This window comes from Homo sapiens, chromosome 20, assembly GCF_000001405.40.
Source record: "Homo sapiens chromosome 20, GRCh38.p14 Primary Assembly".
Taxonomy (NCBI): Eukaryota; Metazoa; Chordata; class Mammalia; order Primates; family Hominidae; genus Homo; species Homo sapiens.
Window position 1 is genome coordinate 51,782,153 of NC_000020.11, and position 22,570 is coordinate 51,804,722.

Consider the following 22,570-nt stretch of genomic DNA (forward strand, 5'->3'; position numbering starts at 1 on the left):
GGAAACAAGAGGGAAACTGTCAAAAAAAAAAAAAAAGTGAGGCAAGTATGGACATAGCCAGGTGTGCATCTTTTTGACGCTAGGAACAAGAGTGTCACAAGGCAGCTGAAAGTGATTGTCAAGTAAAGATTCTCAGGTATAGAGCAGAAAGTACCAGAAAAATTTATATACACCTGGGTGAGAAAAAAAAACATTCAAATTTTATTTTCCAACAGACAGACAGCATCAGCAGGTACAACTACAGGGGTTTCTCCGTAGATCATACATTCACAAGGCATTATTAGCTCAACAGTGAGAAAGCCACTGGTGTGTTTTCTGTAACAATATCCACTTCACAGTGTAAACAGGTACTATTATCGTGTTCACTTACAATTCCAGAAGGAAAGGCACAACTTGGCAAAAAAAAAAAAAAAAAAAAAAAAGGGGGGCGGAATCCTAAAGTCAGGTGCAACGATGAAGAGACAACACTTTGGCTAATCGTCTTGGATGCATATTTCCGTCAGGACCTTCCACATAGAGGGGAAAGACTTTTCTCCCAGAAATTAGAGTTTTTTTCTTTCTTTCTTGTTAAACCAAGAGCAATGTTTCGTTTGCTCAATATCACATTTACAAAGGAAACTACAAAAAAAAAAGGCATCACAAAATCATCTTGAACGTTCACCTCTTCCCACCAATACATCAACTCTTAGGCTTTAGACAGGGCCTGGGAATACTTCAGCGGTCTTAAAATAGGAAAATAGACACTATGGCTACAAAAAATAAAAAATAAATGAGGTAGATAAATTAAAGCTTTCACACCCAGGACGTGCCTGTTCTAACTTCGTAGCCTTCATGAAATATTCAGCAAGGAAACAAAACAAAACAAAAAATCGTCATAATTACTTGGCATAAGTCGCACCAAGGAAATTCAACAAAAGCAATCAGTATGTGAACCTGTGATGGGAAACACGCCCTTCCACGAGTTTCTTCTCGAGCATGAAAACCCAGTTCTTCAATAGAGTAGGCACTGGCAAACTAAGTCACCTGAGATTCCCCGCTCAGGTGCCCACCTCTTCTGGGATTTGGGAAGAGGAAGGCATCCAAGAGGTGTGGGGAAAACATTGGCACTCTCGGGGCTCCAACTGAACTGTATTTAAATAAGCAGCAACACACACATTGACTCCCTAAGGACTAACGTAAGTCCATTTGAGGGCCTCCTACTTAAGGTTCTAAGGTTGAAGCAGTTTTATAATTCTACAACCCTAGTTTTTTGTTGTTCCTTTTTTAAGTACATTCAAAAAAAAACAATAAGATGGGGACAGGGTTGGGGCATATAAAACAGGTCCCTAAAGAGATGACAGACCTTGTCCTTTTACCCGTGTCCAGTTACCAGTAAGTATACAGTACCCATCTCCCCTCAATGAGGCTGTGTAGTTGTCTTTTCCACTGTTGTTCAGTAAGTTCCAACGATTCTACCTTGAAATAGGTAACAGTCTTTGGAAAAAGTCACTCTAGGTTGTACAAAGGTTCTATGTATACGTCTGTTACAAGTAACAAAGCTACTTTGCAAGACCCGCTTCTTTCCAAAATTAGAAAAAAAAAAAAAAAGTGCCAGGCGTGGTAGCTCATGCCTGTAATCCCAGCACTTTGGGAGGCCAAGGCGGGTGGATCACGAGGTCAGCAGTTCGAGACCAGCCTGACCAACATGGTGAAACCCAGTCTCTACTCAAAATACAAAATTAGCCGGGCGTGGTGGCACCTGCCTGTAATCCCAGCTACTCTGGAGGCTAAGGCAGGAGAATCACTTGAACCCAGAATGGGGAGGTTGCAGTGAGCCGAGATCATGCCACTGCACTCCAGCCTGGGTGATAGAGCGAGACTCCATCTCAAAAAAAAAGAGTCTGTATTTGTTTTGGTATGCATTTTTTTTTTATTTTTTCAACTTTTTGCAAAGCAGCATAGCAACAATCGTGATTGTAGCACTTGCCTGAGGTTGTGGTCACAACCAACGTAGTAAACATCATTTGCATATCAGTAAGAAAAAGAAAACAGGAGGAGATGAGTTCTTACAAAACAAAGCAGATTCTAGAGATTTCACTGTGTCTGCATTGCTCCTTCCACGCAAGTTCTCCCTTAGCTGACCGCAATCTTGTTTTCTTCCAGGAAGTGAGGAAACTGGTGTTTGGGAACGCCGTCAGTAGCACTTGGTTTTTCCACATCTGCACTGATACCCGACTGGGAGCCATCCATCTTGGAGACAGTGGCGTTATTCACAACGGAGGTGGCCCCCAAGGAAACCGGGAGGGTAGGAACCCCCCCACTCTGGATCACAGAGATCTCATTGGTCTTCACGGCCAGACCGCCATTGAGCATGCTGGTGTACTGGTTCCACACAACAGGGTCCACATTCACTGAAGGGGCCAGGATTTCCTTGGGAAAGATTTCTGAGACTCTTTTTCCGTCCGTACCTAACAGAGCCATGGTGTTCTCGATGGCCAACTTCCTTCCACGGCGGGCTGAGTTATTGTTCGCCCCGTGTGTCATGTAGTGAACCTATGGGAACAGGACAGAAAGGTTTTTACCAAAATAGAGATTTGAAGCTCACTGGCAAGCCAAGAATCAATCTGCATATGGATTTCATTCTACCCAGTGTTTTAACATATAGATGATCCTTGACTTACAGCGGGGTTATGCCCAGATAAACTGATTGAAAGTAGAAAATATTCTTAGTCTAAAATGCATTTAATACCCCTAACTAGCCAAACATCATAGCTCAGTTTAGCCTACCTCAAACACACTCAGAACATTTGCATTAGCTTACAGTTAGGCAAAATCATCTAACGCAAAGCCTATTTTATTTTATACATGAGCACTGAAACAGCTCATGTAGGCCAGGCACGGTGGCTCACGCCTGTAATCCCAGCACTTTGGGAAGCTGAGGTGGGCAGATCACTTGAGGTCAGGAGTTCAAGACCAGCCCGGCCAACATGATGAAACCCTGTCTACTAAAAATACAAAAAGTAGCCAGGCATGGTGGCACATGCCTGTAATCCCAGCTGCTCGCGAGGCTGAGGCACGAGAATCGCTTGAACCTGGGAGGCGGAGGTTGCAGTGAGCCAAGATCATGCCACTGCACTCCAGCCTGGGTGACAAAGCAAGACTCCATCTCAAAAAAAAATAAAAAATAAAAAATTAGCTCATAGCTCATGTGATTGAGCATGTACTGAAAGTGAGAAACAGAATGGTTGTATGGGTGCTCAAAGTCTGATCTCTACTGAATGCCTATCACTTTTGTATCATCGTAAATCAAACCATCTTAAGTCAGGGACTGTCTGCACTTTATATTTAGAAAATCAGATTTCTTATATCACCTAACAAACATTCCTCCCCAGAGCAACCAAGATGGGGCTTATAGTCTCCAACTGTCTCTGCTCCACCAATCATGGGTGTACCTATGTGAAAACCTACTATATCCTGGGCATTGATCCAAGTGCCAGGGTTAACATTTTTTTTTGAGTCCTTTTTTTTTTGAGACGGAGTCTCGCTCTGTCGCCCAGGCTGGAGTGCAGTGGCGCAATCTCGGCTCGCTGCAACCTCCGCCTCCCGGGTTCAAGCGATTCTCCTGCCTCAGCCTCCTGAATAGCTGGGACTACAGGCACGCGCCACCATGCCCGGCTAATTTTTGTATTTTTAGTAGAGACGGGGTTTCACCATGTTGGCCAGGATGGTCTTGATCTCGTGACCTCGTGGTCCGCCTGCCTCGGCCTCCCAAAGTGCTGGAATTACAGGCGTGAGCCACCACGTCCGGCCTTTTTTTTGAGTCTTAATCTGTCACCCAGGCTACAGTGCAGTGGCACAGCTCACTGCAGCCTCAACCTCCAAGGCTCAAGCAACCCACCCACCTCAGCTTCCTGAGTACCTGGGACTACAGGTGCACACCACCATGCCCAGCTAATTGTTTTTTTTTTTTTTTGAGACAGAGTCTCGCTCTGTCGCCCAGGCTGGAGTACGGTGGAATGATCTTGGCTCAATGCAAGCTCCACCTCCCGGGTTCACACCATTCTCCTGCCTCAGCCTCCCGAGTAGCTGGGACTACAGGCGCCCACCGCCACCACGCCCGGCTAATTTTTTCTATTTTGTTTTTAGTAGAGACAGGGTTTCATCGTGTTAGCCAGGATGGTCAGGATCTCCTGACCTTGTGATCCGCCCACCTCGGCCTCCCAAAGTGCTGGGATTACAGGCGTGAGCCACTGCACCTGGCCGGCTAATTTATTTTTATTTGTAGAGACTGGATCTCCTTATGTTGCTCAAGCTGGTCTCGAACTCCTGGCCTCAAGCAATCCTCCCACCTTGTCCTCCCAAAGTGCTGGGATTACAGGCATGAGCCACTGCACCCAGCCTAGAGTTAACATTTTTAAAATGCACAAACCTACGCAGGTAATAAAACTGTAGAGTGCACAACATGCACACCTGAGTACAAGTAAAATGGGAAAATCTGAATGTTGATTGTAACAATGTCAATATCTTGATTATGCTACAATGTTGATACTACCGTTTTGCAAAGTGCTACCAATGGGGAAAACTGGGCAAAGCATACAAGGATGTCTCTGTATTACTTTTCAAAAGTCCAGTGAAAATCTATACTTATTTAAGTAAAAATTTCAGTTAAAAACAATTTGTGGGCAGGGCACAGTGGCTCACGCCTATAATCCCATTACTTTGGGAGGCTGAGGCAGGCAGATCACCTGAGGTCAGGAGTTTGAGACGAGCCTGGCCAACATGGTGAAACCCCATCTCTACTAAAAATACAAACAGTAGCCGGGTATGGTGGCACACGCCTGAAGTCCCAGCTACTCAGGAGGCTGAGGCAGGAGAATCGCTTGAACCCAGGAGGCGGAGGTTGCAGTGAGTCAAGATGGCACCACTGCACTCCAGCCTGGGCAACAAGAGCAAAACTGTCTCAGAAACAAACAAACAAACAAAACAAACCAAAACAAAACAAATTTTGGGGCAGGACGCAGTGGCTCACACCTACAATCCAGGACTTTGGGAGGTCAGAGCAGGTGGATCACCTGAGGTCTGGAGTTCGAGATCAGCGTGGCCAACATCGTGAAACCTCGACTCTACTAAAAATATACAAAAATTAGCCGGGCATGATGGCGGGCGCCTGTAATTCCAGCCACTCAAGAGGCTGAGGCAGGAGAATTGCTTGAACCCGGGAGGCAGAGGTTGCAATGAGCCGAGATTGCACCGTTGCACTCCAGCCTGGGTGACAGAGCAAAACGACCATTCCCTGATGCAGCTGACATCTAAATATAGAGAACATCAATGTCTCTAATAATTGCTACAGAGAAAAATGTATCTGGCTGGGAAAGCTACAGAAGGCCATGGTGGGAATAGGATGCTATTTAATCTAAGGTGGTAGGCAAGGCTTCTGCTGAAGAAGGGACCTTACTAGCACCTGGCTGCTTTCTTTAATTATTTTTCCTGTCTGGCTTTCAAGTTTTGAAATCCTTTTCAGCTTCTTTTTTTTTTATTTATATGAATTTAATTTTTGTAGAGATGGCATCTTGCTATGTTGCCCAGGCTGGTCTTCAACTCCTGGGGTCAAGTGATCCTCGCACCACCACCTCCCAAAGTGCTGAGAGTACAGGCATGAGCCACTGCGTCCGGCCCTTTTCAGCTTCTTAAGAGTTTAAAACTCTTAAGAGACAGGGTCTTACTCTCTTGCCCAGGCTGGAGTGCAGTGGTGTGATCACAGCTCACAGAAGCCTCGACCTCCCAGGTTCAAGTGATCCTCCCACTTCAGCCTCCCAAGTAGCTGGGCCTACAGGCGCATGCCACCACGCCCATCTAATTTTTATTTTTATTTTGTAGTGACAGGGTCTCCTTATGTTACCCAGGCTGGTCTCAAACTCCTGGGCTCAAGCAATCCACCTGCCTTGGCCTCTCAAAGTACTCAGATTATGGGTGCTGAGCCACTGCACCCAGGTAGTATTTCTAATTTTTAAAATTAAAATGTAAACATTTTAATTTTTTTAAGAGACAAGGTCTCACTTTGTTTTCTAAGCTGGAGTGCAGTGGCATGATCACAGATCACTGCAGCCTTGATCTCTCAGGCTCAAGTGGTCCTCCCACTTCAGCTTCCCAATTGGCGGGGACCCAAGCATGCAACACCATGCCCAACTAATTTGTGTGTGTGTGTGTGTGTGTGTGTGTGTGTGTGTAAAGACGTTGTCTCCCTATGTTGCCAGGCTGGTCTCAAACTCCTGGACTCAGCTGGGTGCAGTGGCTCATGCCTGTAATCCCAGCACTTTGGGAGGCCGAGGCAGGCGGATCACGAGATCAGGAGATCGAGACCATCCTGGCTAACGCGGTGAAACCCCACCTCTACTAAAAATACAAAAAAATTAGCCGGCCATGGTGGCGGACGCCTGTAGTCCCAGCTACTCAGGAGGCTGAGGCAGGAGAATGGCATGAACCCGGGAGGAGGAGCTTGCAGTGAGCTTGAGCTTGAGATGGCGCCACTGCACTCCAGTCTGGGCGACAGAGTGAGACTCCGTCTCAAAAATAAATAAATAAATAAACAAACTCCTGGACTCAAGCAATCCTCCCACCTCGGCCTCCCAAAGGAGGAATGGAAGGATGGAAGAACTCATCACGGCTTGTGCCAATAAGAAGACACCTGGTGCCTAGCCCCCATCCTGCTGAAAGCCCACACAAACCCACCTTTAAGTTGCCTTTGGTGGTAAAAGCTCGCCCACAAATGTTGCACACAAAAGGCTTCTCTCCAGTGTGAGTCCGCTCGTGGATCTGAAGAGCGCTAGCAGACGAGAAGTTCTTCCCACACCGTGTGCAGCCATGTTGCTTGGCCTGTCGGCGTGGCTGGGCTGCTAACAAAGGGGTCATCCCTGGGGACAATGTCGAGGGTCCCACAAATGTGCCAGGAACTTCAACCTTGACATAGGTCGGCGGGGCTCGGATAAACGTGGAAGGGAGACTGCTCCGACCTAGTACACAGAGGGGAAAAAAGCCAGACCTTTATCATCCAACCTTCATTCTTTCTCTTCAAAGCAAAAGAGATCTTTAAAAATAACTGCCTGCTAGTTTGAGAGTCTGGAGCTGGCTTTGTAAGTAATTAACACCTTCCCCTTTGAATTGTTTATCTGCACAAAGAATAAAGCTTCAAATGCTTGGGAAAAGGTATCACTTTGGGTTTTTTTTTTTTAAAGGCATGGGCAACATATAAACACATATGTAATTTAAGTTCAAATTTCTGCATAAGAAACTACCTTTAAAGCATATGCCCAGACACCATCTTTCTTTGATTCTTTGATACAGCTTTTCCCTTATTTTACCATTAATGACATCAACAAACCTCTCAATAGATATGTGCATTTAAAATGGGTTCATCTTTCCCTGCTTCAAGAGTGGCTAATTTGTGAACATTACATCAGGCAGTGGGGCCTCAGAGTCAGGGAACCACGGCTTATTTCAGTGGTCAAAAAGCAGTGGCCACTTCCTCAAACATACTCTTAAGACACCCATATACAGAATCATAGTGTGGAGAAACAAAAAGAAAAAAACTATAACAAAATAGAACGACTACCCACCCCTATGTCCCAAGGGGCTCAAAGACAAAAATAAAAACCAACAAAAAAGGTATGCTGTCCATACCCATTTTGCATTAACCATCATAAATTAAAAGCATGTTCGTTACTAGGATAGAGGCAGTTACTATTGCCCTCTACCCAGAAGTAAAGAAAAGCTAATTGCCCTATAGAAGGGGCTGCTTCAAGTCATACTCTCCGTTTGTAAAGTTCAACCCAGGCTCCTTTTTGATGACCTTGAGCCCAAAATGGACATAAGTTAAATCCAAAGCTCTATCACCTTCCATCTCAGTGCGGCTGTTCTCGGAGCTCTCTGCTTTGCTCCCAGCATCGGGAGACTTTGACTTGATGCTTTCGGCTTGACTATTGGCCGGGGAGAGTGCCTGGAAGGATGTGGTTTCCAGGATATCTGGGCTTCGGCTCTGATACTCCTGGTCTCCCATCAGCGAGGATGAGTCGTTGGTCAAGCCATCGCTCTCCACGGAACCGTTTTCTCTGCTGCCCTGGCGCTGCAGGTTAAAAGGGGCAGGACCCACTTTCCCTGGGGCATCTAAGGAAGCCATCATGGCAAACCCTAGCGTGGGTGATGCCGAGTGGATGCTGGGAAGAGGCGTGGGGACCTTGGAGGAGCTGCTGGGAGCCTCCTGGGAGCTGACTTCCTCTACATCGATGCTTTCGATGACATCATCATGGCAGATAGCGCCGGTGCTGCCGTTCTCACCCACGGTCATTGGCTCAGAACCCGTAAAGTCACAGGGATTCTCTGGCAGGGGCGTGTTGGGAATCTGACCGCCCATGTGCATCCGAATATGTTGCTGCAGCATCACGGCATTAGTGAACTTCTTCTGGCAGATGGGGCACGAATGCTGCGTCTTAATGGATGTGTTGGTTCGGTGAACCCCAAGGTGTGTCTTCAGGTTACCTTTGGTAGAAAAGGCTCGGCCACAGATCTTACACTGGAACGGTCTCTCCCCGGTGTGGGTGCGATAATGCATCTTGAGGGAGCTCTGACAGCTTAAGACTCGGTGGCAAATGAGACATTCGTTGGGATCAGTGGTGGCCTTGTCAATGTTCTCCACCAACTGCTGCAATTTCAGGGTCTCTGACCCTGGCTCAGGGGTCCCACTCCCTTGGAAGCCACCAGCCCTTGGGGAATTATAGTTTGGTCCCACCCCAGGGAGTGTGGGTCCACCCTCACTTTCTGGAGAAGGCCCAGGCTGCAGGTCACCGGGCAAGGAGCCACCCGTGAGGTCCTTGGGATTAGTCCCCGAAGAAAGATTCTGAGGTAGCCCTACAGAGGTGGTTACAAGGACAGGTTTGCTGTCTAAAGAAAGACTCGGTTCATCTATGGGGTCAGGTACAGAGAGTGCATAGGGGATGCCATTGCCGGCCGCCACTTTGTCCTGGAACTCGGCAAACAGCTGGGGGTTTGCCTTCACCTGGGGATGTCGGTGAAAGTGCACCTTGAGGTTGCCCTTGGTGGTGAAGCGATGACCACAGACAGAGCACACGAAGGGTCTCTCTCCAGTGTGGGAGCGGAGGTGGATCTGCAAGGAGCTATCAGTCCCAAAAACCTTGCTACAGTACTTACACTTGTGCTTGTAGAGGGCCGCCTCGTCTTTGGGTTTGACATCCACCGCGGAGATGTTCGGTGGCTTCCCCTTCCCTTTCTTGGATGTGTCTAGCGCCACAGTGGAGAAAGGGCTCTGGAAGAGCACCGAGCCCGGGGCCTGAGGAAGCAAAGCGCTCGGGAGGCGGGACATGACGTTCGGGAGCACCCGGGTCCCATCCGGCTTCAGAGTGAAGGGTGCCAGCCCTGGGGACAGGGAGCTGGTGGCAGAAGGGATGTTGGCGTGAGGTAGCTTGGCTTGTTTCAAGGCATCCAGAGACAGACCTTGGCTTCCAGCTTTCTGGCTGAGCAAAGCCACAGCTGCAGAAACCTGCTGAGACATGTGGCTGCCCAAGGTCTTCAGAGTGTCGGCCCCTGCCCCGCTTGAGTGGAGGGCGTGGGAGGCCCACATGTTCACCTGGATGCGGATCTGCTCGGTGAGCTGGATCTGCTGTAGCTGCTGCTGCTGCAGACACAAGATCTGCTCGAGGACCCACGGGATGCTGTTGGCACCAGGCACGGGGGCAGGGAGTGCATCCGCGCTCCGCTGATTCACCGCCACCTTGGTGCCCCGTAGTGCCTGCAAGGTCACATTAGTGTTGGCCACTTTGCCTTTGGCTAAATAGCTTATGTCCTGGGGGGTGGGTGGCAGGGCTGTCTCTGTCTTTAGGTACACCACAGACTCCGCATCCGGCTTCTCCTTCATGTCCTCTGAGCTGCCGCCATTCTCCCTGTGACAGTCCTTACTGCCGGGACTGGTGGGCTGGTGGCTCAGTACAGCTCCGGAGAAGTCTTCTGAAGGCACAGGCCCCTCGCTGTCATTCATGATGAGGACAGGTGGATTTTTAGTGCAATTTTTCTTATGTTCCAGGAACTCAGAGATGCTGAAGAACTCCGCACAGCATTTCTCACAGACGTGCGTCTCCTCCCGACGAAGCCGCTTTACTGTGGCTTCATCCTCACTCGCCACCTCGTCATTCCCTGGGTGGTTCACTGGAGCACCTGTAACAAGACAGAAAAAGCTAAGGACTCTGCCCAAGTAAAAGATGTGGGGGGAGCCGGGCACCGTCGCTCACATCTATAATCCTAGCACTTTGGGAGGCTGAGGTGGGCAGATCACCTGAGGTTGGGAATTCAAGACCAGTCTGGCCAACATGGTGAGACCCTGTCACTACTAAAAACACAAAAATTAGCTGGGCATGGTGGTGGGCTCCTGTGGTCCCAGCTACTCGGGAGGCTGAGGCTCAAGAATTGCTTGAACCCAGGAGGCAGAGGTTGCAGTGAGCTGAGATCCCGCCATTGCACTCCAGCCTGAGCGACAGAGCGAGACTCCATCTCAAAAAAAAAAAAAAAAAAAAAGGCAAAAAGGCTGATCCCTGAATTTCTTTTGTAACTGGGGCTTACTTACTTTAGGGTTAGTGCCAGCCTACACATTGCAACTCCGAACTTGGGACTGTGTTTTAGCCAGATGCTGGGGTCCTTCACATGATGCCTGGAAGTCTCTCGAAGCTACTTCATTGTTCTCACCTCCCTGCTGTCCTCTCAGGTATACCCCATCATCAAGATATCAATGGAGCTTGGGGCCACAGGACAAAGACAGGCATATCTCAGACCCAGCAGCTAAGCCTATAAATCTAAACCACACAAGACATTCACACGAGCATACAATGATCTAGGTTTTCTTGTTTTTTCAGAAATGTTCACAGCAGCAAAGAAGTAAATTTTGGCCCACCCACCCATAGTGTGAGAAATATGCAGAATTTCTGTATGCCACAGAAATTAAGTGAAAGAAACGGGTTGCGCAACAATATGTACAACATGACCATTTTGCTTAAAACAAAACCTGTGTTTGAAATGTACAAATGTGGCTGGGTGCAGTGGCTCGCACCAGTCATCCCAGCACTTTGAGGCCACTTTTGAGAGGCCGGGAGTTTGAAACCAGCAACACAGTGACACCCCGTCTCTATAAAAAAAATAAGAAGATAAAAATAGCTGAGCATGGCAGCGTCCATGTATAGTTCAAGCAACTCCAGAGGCTGAGGCAGGAGAACCGCTTGAGCCTGGGAAGTCAAGCCACTCCAGCCTGGGTGACAGAGTGAGACCCTGTCTGGAAAAAAAAAGTACAAATGCACAAGGAAAAGGCCAGGAAGGGCTGGAGTGCAGTGGCCCAATCTTGGCTCACTGTAACCTCCGCCTCCTGGATTCAAGCTATTCTCATGCCTCAGTCTCCCGAGTAGCTGGCTAATTTTTGTATTTTTAGTAGAGATGGGGTTTCACCATGTTGGCCAGGCTGGTCTCAAACTCCTGGGTGCAAGTGATCCGTCTGCCTCAGCCTCCCAAAGTGCTCGGATTACAGGCATGAGCCACCGTGCCCAGCCAAAGCCACGGACTTTTGACAGCACAGTCCACCCACGGGTTTCCAGGAGGGGCTGATCTTGAAGCATGGCCTTAACAAACTGATTTAATCTTTACTTATTTCAGACTGGGTCACAATATGAAGTCTTGCAAGGTATGTGTAGGCTGGGGGTGGGTCAGGGGAAGAGACAACAGCCATGGGCAGGTCTGGCCTGCCAGAGTTAAGAAAGCTAGGCAGGGCCAACCTAGCCTTGCCTATCAATAACAGGTAGTTATTGATAGGCAAGTCGGCACACCCCTAAGAAAGCCTACTGGGCACGCGTAATCGCGAGATGACAACCTCGTGATTAGATGATTAGGTAGATGCCTGGATTTACTGATTCAACCAGGACTGCTGAGAACAATGCCTTACAATAAAACAATGTAATGCCTCTCGTTCCACAATACTAACCTCCTACTGCGTGCAAAGCAGGGGTTGGGGACCCAATGGTGAAAAGATGAGCCCCATTATCTTCCTATAATTCAGATTTTGTACCAGCAGATGCCCATACTGTAATCATTCAATCCTATTAAATATCAGCTCCATTAAAGGCTGGGCGTGATGGCTCACACCTGTGATCCCAGCACTTTGGGAGGCTGAGAGTTCGAAACCAGCCTGACCAATATGGTGAAACTCCATCTCTACTAAAACTATAAACTTAGCCCAGCGTGGTGGCGCATGCCTAATCCCAGCTACTCAGGAGGCTGAGGCAGGAGAATCACTTGAACCCAGGAGGCGGAGGTTGCAGTGAACTGAGATTGTGCCATTGTACTCCAGCCTGGGCAACAAAAGCGAAACTCCATCTCAAAAAATAAATAAATAAATAATGAAAAAATAAAGATGTGAAAAACAGAGACTCTGAGAAATAATGTCACTCGTGCAACATAACAAAAGTTATTGACAGATAACTTTTGAGCACTTACTTTGTATGTGCCAGGTATGATTCTAAACAATTTGTTATATTAACAACTCTGAAATAGAAACTATTACCCTATTTGACAGAAGGGGAAACTGAGGCACAGAGGACATGAACTTGCCCAAGCTAACATGTTAAGTAAACTGCAGAGCCAGTATTAAACCCCAGACATGCAGTTCCCACACCCTCTATTGGAACCCTTCATTTGTACCCCTCTGATCATGTTTCTTCTGTAAAGATTGCAACTTTCTTTCCTCTCACAGAGATGTTAAGATGGGACAGGAAAGCCTGGGAGGTTGCCTTGGTTAGGAAGGGGTGGGAGTCGACCACCCATTCCTGTCTCATTTCTAGGACTTCCAGAAGTTGCTCTGAAAGTGTTAAGATGCAGTGCGATGCTGCTACTTCCAGGTAGAGTTCTAGTAGCAGGTACCAGCACAAACTCTCCTTTCTTAAGGCCCCAATACTGCTGCGAATCTGCCTCACTTCAGTGATCCAGATAAAAATGTTCGGCCGGGCACGGTGGCTCACAAGGTCAGGAGATCAAGACCATCCTGGCTAACACGGTGAAACTCCATCTCTACTAACAATACAAAAAATTAGCCGAGCACGGTGGTGGGCGCCTGTAGTCCCAGCTACTGGGGAGGCTGAGGCAGGAGAATGGCGTGAACCCGGGAGGCAGAGGTTGCAGTGAGCCGAGACAGTGCCACTGCACTCCAGCCTGGGCGACAGAGCGAGACTCCGTGTCAAAAAAACAAAAACAAAAACAGATAAAAATGTTCGTCAATTCCCAGAACCCTGGCAACTATTTATCTGGGAACCGCCAACTCTCAGATAAATAGTATCTATCTGTATGATTTTCCAAGACTGGAAACCAGCACTAGTGGGAGTGCTAGGTGGCACAATCTTTCTAGAAAAGCAATTTTGACAATTATGTGTCAAGAATGTTAAGAAGTGAAACTTTTTAAAACAGTTTCTCTTGTTAGGGAAGGAAATACACGCTGCTGGTACGAGTGTATAGACAGATACAGCTCTTTCAGGGAGTCATCTGGCAACATCTTCATTTTAGTACAATTTTCCTTTGACCCAGCAATTCCTGCTTTAGGAATTTCCTCAATGTACTTGCAGCATTTCTCATGTTAACAAACAGCAACAAAATGGATGCACCTTGGTCCATCAGTAAGATTTTGGTTAAATAAGTTAGGGTGCAGAAAAGGCGAACGCTTTATAGCCTCCAGAAATAAAGAAGACCAAGGCTGGGCACAGTGGCTCACACCTGTAATCCCAGCACTTTGGGAGGCCGAGGTGGGTGGATCACCTGGGTTCAGGAGTTTGAGACCAGCCTGGCCAACATGGTGAAACTCTGTCTCTACTAAAAATAGAAAAATTAGCCAGGTGTGATGGTGTGCGCATCGCTGGAATCCCAGCTACTCGGGAGGCTGAGGTGGGAGAATTGCTTGAACCCGGGAGGTGGAGGTTGCAGTGAGCCGAGATTGCGCCACTGCACTCCAGCCTGGGCAACAGAACAAGACTGTCTCAAAAAAAAAAAAAAAAAGAAAGAAAGAAAGAAAAGAAAAGAAAAAAAAAACCCTCAATAAAGCCCATGCAAAAACATTAACCACTCCATACTACTTTTTAGAGGCCAAAGCTAACCACCACCAACCTCTCCAAGCAAGAACAAAAACATACTTCATACTCTTACACCTTAAGGCAAGCTTGTCCAAACCAGGCCCAGGCCAGCTTTGAATTCAGCCCAACACAAATTCATAAACTTTCTTAAAACGTGAGATAGTTTTACAATTTGTTTTAAGCTCATCAGCTATCATTACTGTCCGTGTCTTTTATGTGTGGCCCAAGATAATCCTTCTTCCAATGTGGACCAGGGAAGCCAAAAGATTAGACACCCTTGCCTTAGGTCGCTTATCTTCATAGCCACATAATCAAACAAGCTCCTTTGTTTCCATTTTGCAGATGTGGAAAACAGGCTCAGAACTAAATGGCTCAAGATGACATACTGCTTGCTAGTCACAATACAGAGGTGACTTAAATACTATTTAACAGCACTAAAATTAGTGGCCCAATTCATAATCGTTTCTTCTAGAGCGGAGTTTCTCCCCTCTGTGGGAGAAACTTTTTTATTTTGCCCCTCTATGGAGGCTTTTAAGTTATTTTTCCCTAATAGCTCCCCACTTATAAAGTTCTAATATCACAAACATATTATATACATTTATCTCCTTTGGAAGGCCACAAACCACTGTACTATCAATAAAACGTTTTCATCCCATTGGTGAAAATATCACTTGATTGAAAATGCATGTTCTATTTAACACAGGCATTTTTAAACAGGGGGTCTATGAAATTAGATAAGAAAAAAATACTAATTTTCACTAAGCTGAACTAAAATTCAACCTTTCTTTCAATGATGAATATAAGCAACATACCACAGTGGTATTAATAGAACTTGTGACTTTGTCATCAGTGGAGACCACAGATATTTTCATATAGTGTTACAAGTTGTTATGACTTGGAAATTCTTGTTATCTGACAGGCTACTAGATCTTGTTATTTATTGTATTAATAAAGTAGCTGATATTACTAAGTTAAAAATGTTTTCATTTTTGATGACTGTATTTCAATGCAATTTATTTCCTTGGTCATCTATGTATTTTATACACTATGTTGAGAAGGGATCTATGGCACAAAAAAGGTTAAGCTCCCTCCCCTAGAAGGATCCAGCAGTTCCCAGAGTGATTTACAGCCTGAATACCAGCTTGCCTTTGCTGTATACACAAGCTTGCCTCTTCTGTAGCCTCCACCAGCAACATCCCACTTGACTCTTAAAACAGCAGCAGCTCTGTTTGCTTGTGCAGTAAAAAGTGCTTCTACATCCAGGCCACCACTGGTAAATACCGCAACTGTATTTGCCAAGGAGTAAGAAGATTCTGTTATGAACAATTGCTGGGCATGCTTAAGTTAACCAAAAAGGAAAAAAAAAAAGCAAAGTTCAGAGGGATTACACAGCAACTAGTTCTTCCATTTCTCCACCCCACCCCCACCCCGAATTTTAGGAATGTTATCTTGCAGCATCTAGTTATCCAATAAGTTGGAAGAATGCAGTAAACCCAGCAGGGGTCTTAGATTCAATCACTGCCAAATGGATAGAAAATACTCTTACTATTGTATAGGAAGAAAGTTCATCTACTAGTGGCCAATCAAATTCTGGAGACACTGAAATGCTTAAAAAGTAAAACCTGTATATCTTGATAAAAGCATTATGACTCAAGCTTATCTTTTTTTCATTCCTACATTTAAAGAACGACAATGAGTAGATTATCTAAAGCACACAACATCTTCTACCCTCCCCCAACCCCAGGATAATTGCTTACCAAAAAACAAAAGGAAATTATGTGCCTTCTTAAGTATTTAACCAGTTGAAAGAAAACTGCCTCTTTAGCAGCTTAATTTTAGCAGTCAAAAAGCCTTCAACTCAATTCATAGAAGGCAGATAAGACTTTAAGTTTCCACCTAATTAAGATCTAAAAAAGGCAAAGTTTCAAACAGCCTTGAACCAAAATTCGGGGATGCTGCTGGAGAGGAAAAAAAGAGTAAATGGCTCAAAGAAAGTTTCACAGGCGCTAAGGCGTGTGACTTCTGTTTGCTTCCAAGGTTAGGGAAGTGTCCCACTCGTCCCCAACTAGAGATCAGGCAAGTTTGCAAACTCCATGAGGGCAGGGGTTTTTGTCGCCTGTCTCCAGAGCCCCCCTGAACAAATCCTGACACAGACATACAATTTGTTGGGGCGGGGGTGGGGGGGGATTGTGGTGACTGGCGATGCAGTTCTTATCTGGATTTAGTGGCTTTTAAAAATGTTTAGACATTTTAAAAAATAGTCAAAAGTACTGTAGGCTAAAGGTGATGAGGAAGGGACAACTTCTGGAACTCTTTTCGCCATCAATTTTTCCAGGGTAGTACAACCCAGAGAAGCCGACCAAACTCCAACATTGTTTTATTTCTGGGACCTCTTCATCTAAACCGTGTGAAGGCACATCCCAACATTTAAGATGGCAGAGGAGAGGCCACCAAACCCAACCAGCCAAGCACCAATCACGGCTCCCTTGTCGAAGATGCCAAAAAGAACATCTCATCACATCACCAACTGACCTAAGGTTATTTTTAAAAAACCAATAAAAACAAAACAAAACAAAACAAAACAAAACAAAAAAAACAGTTCCTTGGGCTCTGGGGCGAGGCAGGACAAGACACCATGGGCCATCAAGCAGGGCAAGGCACCACGGGCAAAGCCATTTCAAACAGGTGCTGCAATTTAAAATGAGTAAAAACATGACTATCACTTTTGGTCTTTAATATCTTGAATTAAAGATAGCGCACTCGAGTCCCCAGCCTGGTGTCTGGCAGGCAGCACACTGCCATTTCTGCTAGATTGCCTCAACTGGCAGCTCAACACCATCTTGACACAATAAACACAAATAAAAACATTTTGGTATTTTGAACAAAATTAAGACTGATCACATTCCCAATTCATAGTAGCCCTTCTATAGTTGAAATTATCTAAACAGGGCATTTTATCACTGCTATATAGAGGAGGAACCCAAAAACTCAGAAAAAACAAAAAAACAGAAAACGCCACCAAGCTGGCTTCAAGGTTACACAGCTGAAAGTCACACAGCCACAGTGGAACGCGGATCCCATTCTAAAACCTGACTTCCCAGGCATCAACCTAACACTTCACATTTTAAAAAAGGAAATGCTAACTGCCTTCTGCCTCCCAAGATGGTTCCCCAACCCACAGCCCAGGAGGAAGCTCACTAACAGCAGCACGAATGACAAAGTATCATTTGCTTCTGCACTGCACATTTTTATTCAACAAAAGGAGCTGTTTGGCAAATTGTAGCTTCTCTCCCTATGGGAAACCCACATGAAGTCTAACGTAGAAAGTTGACCTGAAACGTTAACTAACGTCAAAATCCTTCTAAGCCAGCGTAGGTCATTTTGGTGAGTAATTGGAAATAGGAAGTTATTCGAAACTTGGGAATCCTAATCGTTGATGTTTGTAATCCAGTTTAGCACAAAGGGCATTTGAAACTCTTTTGAGAAAATGCTAATTTTTCCTGTATGTAGTGTTAGCCCTGCGACCACCTGCAGATTTTTTGATCTGCTAATTGATCGCCAGACGTCATTTTCCTCCCTCAAAAACTGCATTCTCGAATGGCTTTGCAAAATAAGACCAGCTCAATCTGCATTCTAAAAAATTATGTGAGACATATACATACATCTAAGTTAGATATGTATGTCTACATTATATACCTAACACATATAATTTTAGGCAGCTCAAATGCAAACAACCCAAACGCAGCCATTAAAAACGCACTGCTTGGGAAAACAACCTTCTCTCCCAAGGAGGCAATTGGAGGCTCTGCAAACACATTCTAGCCGCCAGGAGTTATTACCAAGAATTCCACACTTGGCAAAGAACAGCGGGCACAGACGACGATCAAGCAGGCGACCGGCACGAATCCCCTAGGGTACCCATCCTTGGCCCAGCCCAGCACTCTCCATTCACCCCCACAACCCGTCCCACCCACCAGGTGTGAGCCAGTACCTGCGAAGGGACCCCGCCTCCCAGCAAAGGGCTAGGCTTCAAGCTGGGCCTCCAGGGGGCGCCCGCGCGCAAGCCGGGTGGGCTGTCCGCGACAACCCTGGTGATCAATAGCCAACTCCCCTCCCTCCCAAATCGCAGTGGCAGCGCACGGCCAGGCCCGAGGTTTTAGCTCAGCTCAGGTTGACTCTGATTCCAAACTCCAACCATCGTTAATTTCAGAAGCCCTCTCGTAACAAGCTTCCCTCCCGAAAGGTGCCAAACACCACCAAAAGCCCCACGTGTGTGCGCCCACCCAAAATGAAGGGGGAAGGGGAGGTCAGCGTAGGACCAGGGGAGGGGTCAGAACCAGGAGCTCGCCCCTCCTCTCCGGAGGAAGCAGGCGGGCTGAGGGTTAACCCTTTTGTTCCAGGTGGGCCAGGCCACGAAGCCTTCACGCTCCCCTCAACCCCCACCCCACCCCGCCCCCAACCAAGGCACAAAGAGAGTCCCTCCAGGCGCCTGGGACCTCGGGTGCGCGCTGCGCTGACCACCCGGCGCCCCGAAAACGCCCAGCCATCCCCTCCGTCAAGCCGATCCTTTTAATTTGCCCTGGAAAAATGTTAAACGGGGAATTCTATTGACGTATTATAAACTTGGGAAATGTATTACATTCAGTCTCCGACAAAAAGGCGGGGATACGGAAGCCAAAAAGTGGCGACCGTCTTCTCGGGAAACCCCGGGTATCAGAGATGGTCTCTGAGAGTCCTCCGGGGTTGCCGCGCACACCCGTCTGCTGCAGGGAAATTAGAAAGCAGGCGGGGAGCGGAGCGACGAACAAGGCCGGAGAGGAGGCTACAAATCCCCCCTCCCCCCACGCGCACGCTAAAAACTTATCAGGCGACAATTTGGCGGGCCGGGATGGAGACGAGATAGTGGAAAACCGCCTCGCTCCTAAAACCTCCGCGGTGAAGTGATGAAGTGGGAACAGAGTTGGCCCCGCCGTTCCTGGCGCGGCTGGGGTCCCGAACTCCCCTCGATCTGGGAAACGCTGGCCGCGGAAGCGTGGGCCAGGTCAGCCGCGGGAGTTCGCTCTGGCCCCCCACCTCTCCCCTTTCACACCCAAGCGCAAATGTGGAAAGCCGAGCGCTCCAGAAAAGCCACGCAAAACGGGAGGCCGGTGCACCCCAGTGGGGCTGCCGCGCGCCCGCCACCCCGGCCACTGGGGGCTCGCACCCTCGGGCTTGCCGCGGTTATTTTTAGGAAGTCGGAAATCAAAGATGGCTGGAGGTCAGGCCCCGAAAGGTTAGGGCGAAGATCGGCAGGCGGCGCAGCCCGGGCAGAAAAGGCGAAATCCAGAAAAGAAAAAAATTTTAAAGGGAAACATTGAGCCCTCCTCCCCCACCTCTCTGGGCCCTCCAATCCCCTGCGCAGCGCGGGTGGCCCGCACCCCAGCTCCTGAGGGTGGGGAGAGGTCGCGCCCCCTCCCCCCACTTGGCCCGGGAGGGGCGCGTGCAACAGATCGTCCTCCTCCGGGGGGTCTTCCAGGGGTGCGCCCCTCCTCCAGCCTCCAAGAAAAGCCCCAAGGGGCTGGTGGAGAGGGTGGGGATCCCCCGGGGTTCTTTCTTTTGAGAGCGACGCGAGGGAGGGGGACCTAAGTTACAAGGGGGGGGGGTAACACCAGTGAGGGGAGTGGAACCAATTAAGTGAGGGGCAGAGGACAAGGAGAAGGGAACCTTTCGGGAGCGAGAACAGAGGAGCGAGTGGGGGTCAATTTTACAATTAGGGGAGAAAGCTGGGGGTGAAACTTACACAAGAGGGGAGAAGAGGAAAAAAGTGTGAAATGTGCAAAAGGCGGGGTGGTGGGGAGAGGAGGAGACCTCTCCTCCCGGGCACTGAGCCCCCAAATCTCGGCTCCTGAATTTGCGCTGGACGCCGCCCGCTCCCCGAAGCCTGCGCCCTCGAGGATCCCGCGTACGTCCGGGAAGCTCCCCTCCCCGGGCGGGCGCCCCAGCCCCACTCACCCAGCTCCCCCGCCGCGGGCGCCGCTGGGGCCGCATCTGCAAACTCCGGGGTCTGCTGCTGCGGCTGCTGCTCGCCCTGGTCCTCCTCCGAGTTGATGTGCTGGGGTTTCGCCTGCTTGCGCCTCGACATGGTGCGAGCATCGGGGCGCCGGGAGAGCCGCAGTTATTTGCCCTCTCCGCCACAAATTCCTGGAGTTGGGAAATTTACCCCCCTTCGGCCGGAACGCGCATGTCCCAGTAATTATTATTATCAATAATGCATTGCGATTTATCATGAGCCCTGACAGCTGATTGGCCTGGGTCCAAGACCTCAGAGATCATTTAAATAAGCCCTCATTGATCAGGGAGGGGTGAGGCATTCTGGGCTTTGTAGTCCGGGCCTACTTGTGACAAAGGCGTGTTCATCAGGGGAGCGCAGCTAATTAGCATCCGGGCTCAGATTGGCTGGGGCGGGGACGAAATCAGAGGGGGACCCATCCTTGCTCCAGCTATCTCAGTCCTTGGAGAGGAAAAGAAAATGGGGAGAAATGCGTACTCATTAAAAAGTAGGAGCTTACGTAGAAGTTTTGGAACGGCTTTATTTGGTAGTTACTTGCTCCAAAGATTACTTGGTAAGGTTGATGTCCACCAGCCGAGAAGGGAGATCTCTTCACAGTGGAATATTTTGGCTCAGTTTTCACATCTACACGCACACACATTCCCCCAAACCTGAGATGTGACCCGTGTCCCCTCCCATCTTTTTGATTAAAAATGTTTAAGTTGAGTCTCGAGATAACTGAAGAATGATGAATGGTGGTGTTTTCAGCCCTCCCACCCATCTCAACTCTTAAAGTGAGCTCGGAACTTCCAAAATTTCAGATACCCCACCACCACCATGACTTACCTCCTTTAAAAGCTGATTAATAGCCTCCAGGATTCCTGTTCACAAAGACTGGTTTGTGGTTACAATGCAAACCTTGATTTTTTTTTAACTTCAAAATGACTGGCTACTAAATATAGAAATGGCAAATGATAAGCAAGCATAGTCAGAGATAATATCAAAACAGCAAGCAATTGCATTTTTTTCCCCAGGAGCCATAAATGCCTGATAACATCATATTTTATTACTGAGACAATGCTCTTGCATCTCCCATGGAATGGCAATGGGGCACTGTCACAGTATCTGGTTGTTACTAATCACTATTGGAATTTTTTTGTGCAATACACACATTATTACAGAAAAGGTGTATCGTTCAAAGTGATTGTATCATTGACACATGATGCCTGGAATTTTTTAAAGTGGGGCTTGTGTGTGTGTATATGATATATTACATGTATACACATTTATACCGTAAATTCATGTATACTTAATTTGGCTAACTGCTTTACACAATGTACATGCTCAATAAATGTTAAATGAATGATGAAATCATCAACCTGCTAAGTCTTTGATTGGTCTTTCCATAACTGCTCTGGGCATGCGTCTTTGTTTGGCATTTACTTCATTGTAAGGGACTGTGCAGATATAAACCCTCCCTCCACATTTGTGCATTGCATTCTCTTGATTAGTTATTCATCACGTTCCCAGCTTGTAAACTCATCAGGAATACAAGCAAAATGGAATGCTGGGCTCATCAATGTGTTCACCTGGGTATTTGGACAACCCAAGGCAGAAAATAAATCAGCTTGATCATCTTTTTTATATTCGTGGCCATCAGTAAAAACTTGTTGAAGGAAGATTAACCTTCAATTTTTGAGTCTCTGAAAAAGTCTTGCCTTATTTTATGTATAATATTTAAAGCAAGTAAGACAGAATTATAGCCAACAGCCAGATTGAAAAGGTAAGAATTTGGTTTAATAATACATAGAAGCAGTTTAGAATTCTGATACTGAGTAAAAAGGCCAATTAGCACCTGCCTTGCTGACTAATCTACTAATATTCTCAACACCTTTTCTGTGTAAGATAGTGTGGCAGGAGATCTAACTTACAAATCTAAACGAATGTGCAGTGGGTTTATGGCTCAAAAAATACTATTGGGTTAAGGAAAATTTCATTTATATAGTTGTTTATATTTATTTTAGTAGATGATAGTTGTAACATGTTAGCCTTACTACGAGACAAAATTGTGCCGCTTGACTCTCCAAGTGATAGTAATAATAATAATTGATTGAGCCCCTTGTACATGCCACAGACTGCATTAAATGAATGCACACCGCCTTGTTTTATCTTCCCATGGAGGTTGGCCCTATTGTCCTCTCCATTTTGAAACTGAGGCTCAAAGACATGAAGTGACTTAATTAGAAACTGGCTGAGCTGGTGGTCAGTTTCTAAGCCGGTGGTCAGTTTCTAAGTCTGACTCCAAAATTCTATCACATCCTAATACCTGTCTTCCAACTATAGCTGAATATAGAGAAGATAGCTAAAGAAGAAAAATCGGAGTACAGTAAACTAAATTTAAAGTGTC

At 47.1% G+C, this 22,570-nt stretch overlaps 1 protein-coding gene across 3 annotated transcripts, besides 9 other annotated features; it reads right to left on the bottom strand.

Moving 5' to 3' along the window:
• On the bottom strand, positions 179-20,369 carry SALL4 (spalt like transcription factor 4). Of its 3 annotated transcripts, none has more exons than NM_001318031.2 (4): positions 20,127-20,369; positions 9,181-10,200; positions 6,709-6,989; positions 179-2,532 (listed from the first exon to the last, which is right to left on the bottom strand). In NM_001318031.2, exons 1-4 carry the CDS (start codon positions 20,254-20,256, stop codon positions 2,113-2,115), a joined length of 1,851 nt encoding a protein of 616 aa, NP_001304960.1. In that variant the 5' UTR covers positions 20,257-20,369; the 3' UTR covers positions 179-2,112. The 3 variants fall into 3 exon arrangements, with proteins under 3 accessions (NP_001304960.1, NP_065169.1, XP_047296274.1); NM_020436.5 differs by having other exon boundaries at positions 7,870-10,200; XM_047440318.1 differs by lacking the exon at positions 20,127-20,369 and adding an exon at positions 19,339-19,450 and having other exon boundaries at positions 7,870-10,200.
• Positions 6,318-6,819: an enhancer, noted in NCBI's record as "H3K27ac hESC enhancer chr20:50405009-50405510 (GRCh37/hg19 assembly coordinates)". NCBI's record gives its function as "activates a minimal SCP1, AML or CMV promoter by ChIP-STARR-seq in naive and primed H9 embryonic stem cells {active_cell/tissue: H9 hESC(naive and primed)}" and the evidence as "EXISTENCE:reporter gene assay evidence [ECO:0000049][PMID:30033119]".
• Positions 6,820-7,319: an enhancer, noted in NCBI's record as "H3K27ac hESC enhancer chr20:50405511-50406010 (GRCh37/hg19 assembly coordinates)". NCBI's record gives its function as "activates a minimal SCP1, AML or CMV promoter by ChIP-STARR-seq in naive and primed H9 embryonic stem cells {active_cell/tissue: H9 hESC(naive and primed)}" and the evidence as "EXISTENCE:reporter gene assay evidence [ECO:0000049][PMID:30033119]".
• Positions 7,779-8,345: an enhancer, noted in NCBI's record as "H3K4me1 hESC enhancer chr20:50406470-50407036 (GRCh37/hg19 assembly coordinates)". NCBI's record gives its function as "activates a minimal SCP1, AML or CMV promoter by ChIP-STARR-seq in naive H9 embryonic stem cells {active_cell/tissue: H9 hESC(naive)}" and the evidence as "EXISTENCE:reporter gene assay evidence [ECO:0000049][PMID:30033119]".
• Positions 8,346-8,911: an enhancer, noted in NCBI's record as "H3K4me1 hESC enhancer chr20:50407037-50407602 (GRCh37/hg19 assembly coordinates)". NCBI's record gives its function as "activates a minimal SCP1, AML or CMV promoter by ChIP-STARR-seq in naive H9 embryonic stem cells {active_cell/tissue: H9 hESC(naive)}" and the evidence as "EXISTENCE:reporter gene assay evidence [ECO:0000049][PMID:30033119]".
• Positions 13,160-13,659: an enhancer, noted in NCBI's record as "H3K4me1 hESC enhancer chr20:50411851-50412350 (GRCh37/hg19 assembly coordinates)". NCBI's record gives its function as "activates a minimal SCP1, AML or CMV promoter by ChIP-STARR-seq in primed H9 embryonic stem cells {active_cell/tissue: H9 hESC(primed)}" and the evidence as "EXISTENCE:reporter gene assay evidence [ECO:0000049][PMID:30033119]".
• Positions 17,152-18,075: an enhancer, noted in NCBI's record as "OCT4-NANOG-H3K27ac-H3K4me1 hESC enhancer chr20:50415843-50416766 (GRCh37/hg19 assembly coordinates)". NCBI's record gives its function as "activates a minimal SCP1, AML or CMV promoter by ChIP-STARR-seq in naive and primed H9 embryonic stem cells {active_cell/tissue: H9 hESC(naive and primed)}" and the evidence as "EXISTENCE:reporter gene assay evidence [ECO:0000049][PMID:30033119]".
• Positions 18,223-18,272: an enhancer, noted in NCBI's record as "active region_18116". NCBI's record gives its function as "activates an Ori minimal core promoter by ATAC-STARR-seq in GM12878 lymphoblastoid cells {active_cell/tissue: GM12878}" and the evidence as "EXISTENCE:reporter gene assay evidence [ECO:0000049][PMID:35858748]".
• Positions 18,788-19,430: an enhancer, noted in NCBI's record as "NANOG-H3K27ac-H3K4me1 hESC enhancer chr20:50417479-50418121 (GRCh37/hg19 assembly coordinates)". NCBI's record gives its function as "activates a minimal SCP1, AML or CMV promoter by ChIP-STARR-seq in primed H9 embryonic stem cells {active_cell/tissue: H9 hESC(primed)}" and the evidence as "EXISTENCE:reporter gene assay evidence [ECO:0000049][PMID:30033119]".
• Positions 20,074-20,715: an enhancer, noted in NCBI's record as "NANOG-H3K27ac hESC enhancer chr20:50418765-50419406 (GRCh37/hg19 assembly coordinates)". NCBI's record gives its function as "activates a minimal SCP1, AML or CMV promoter by ChIP-STARR-seq in naive H9 embryonic stem cells {active_cell/tissue: H9 hESC(naive)}" and the evidence as "EXISTENCE:reporter gene assay evidence [ECO:0000049][PMID:30033119]".

Bases quoted from the DNA above. Each gene is read 5' to 3' on its own strand.
- SALL4 (NM_020436.5), bottom strand. From the start codon at position 20,256: ATGTCGAGGCGCAAGCAGGCGAAACCCCAGCACATCAACTCGGAGGAG. The intron at 10,201-20,126 runs GTGAGTGGGGCT...GTCTTGTTACAG, and splicing joins GCCCGCGGCGGGGGAGCTGG to GTGCTCCAGTGAACCACCCA. The intron at 6,990-7,869 runs GTGATAGAGCTT...TCTGTGTACTAG, and splicing joins CAGCCGCACTGAGATGGAAG to GTCGGAGCAGTCTCCCTTCC.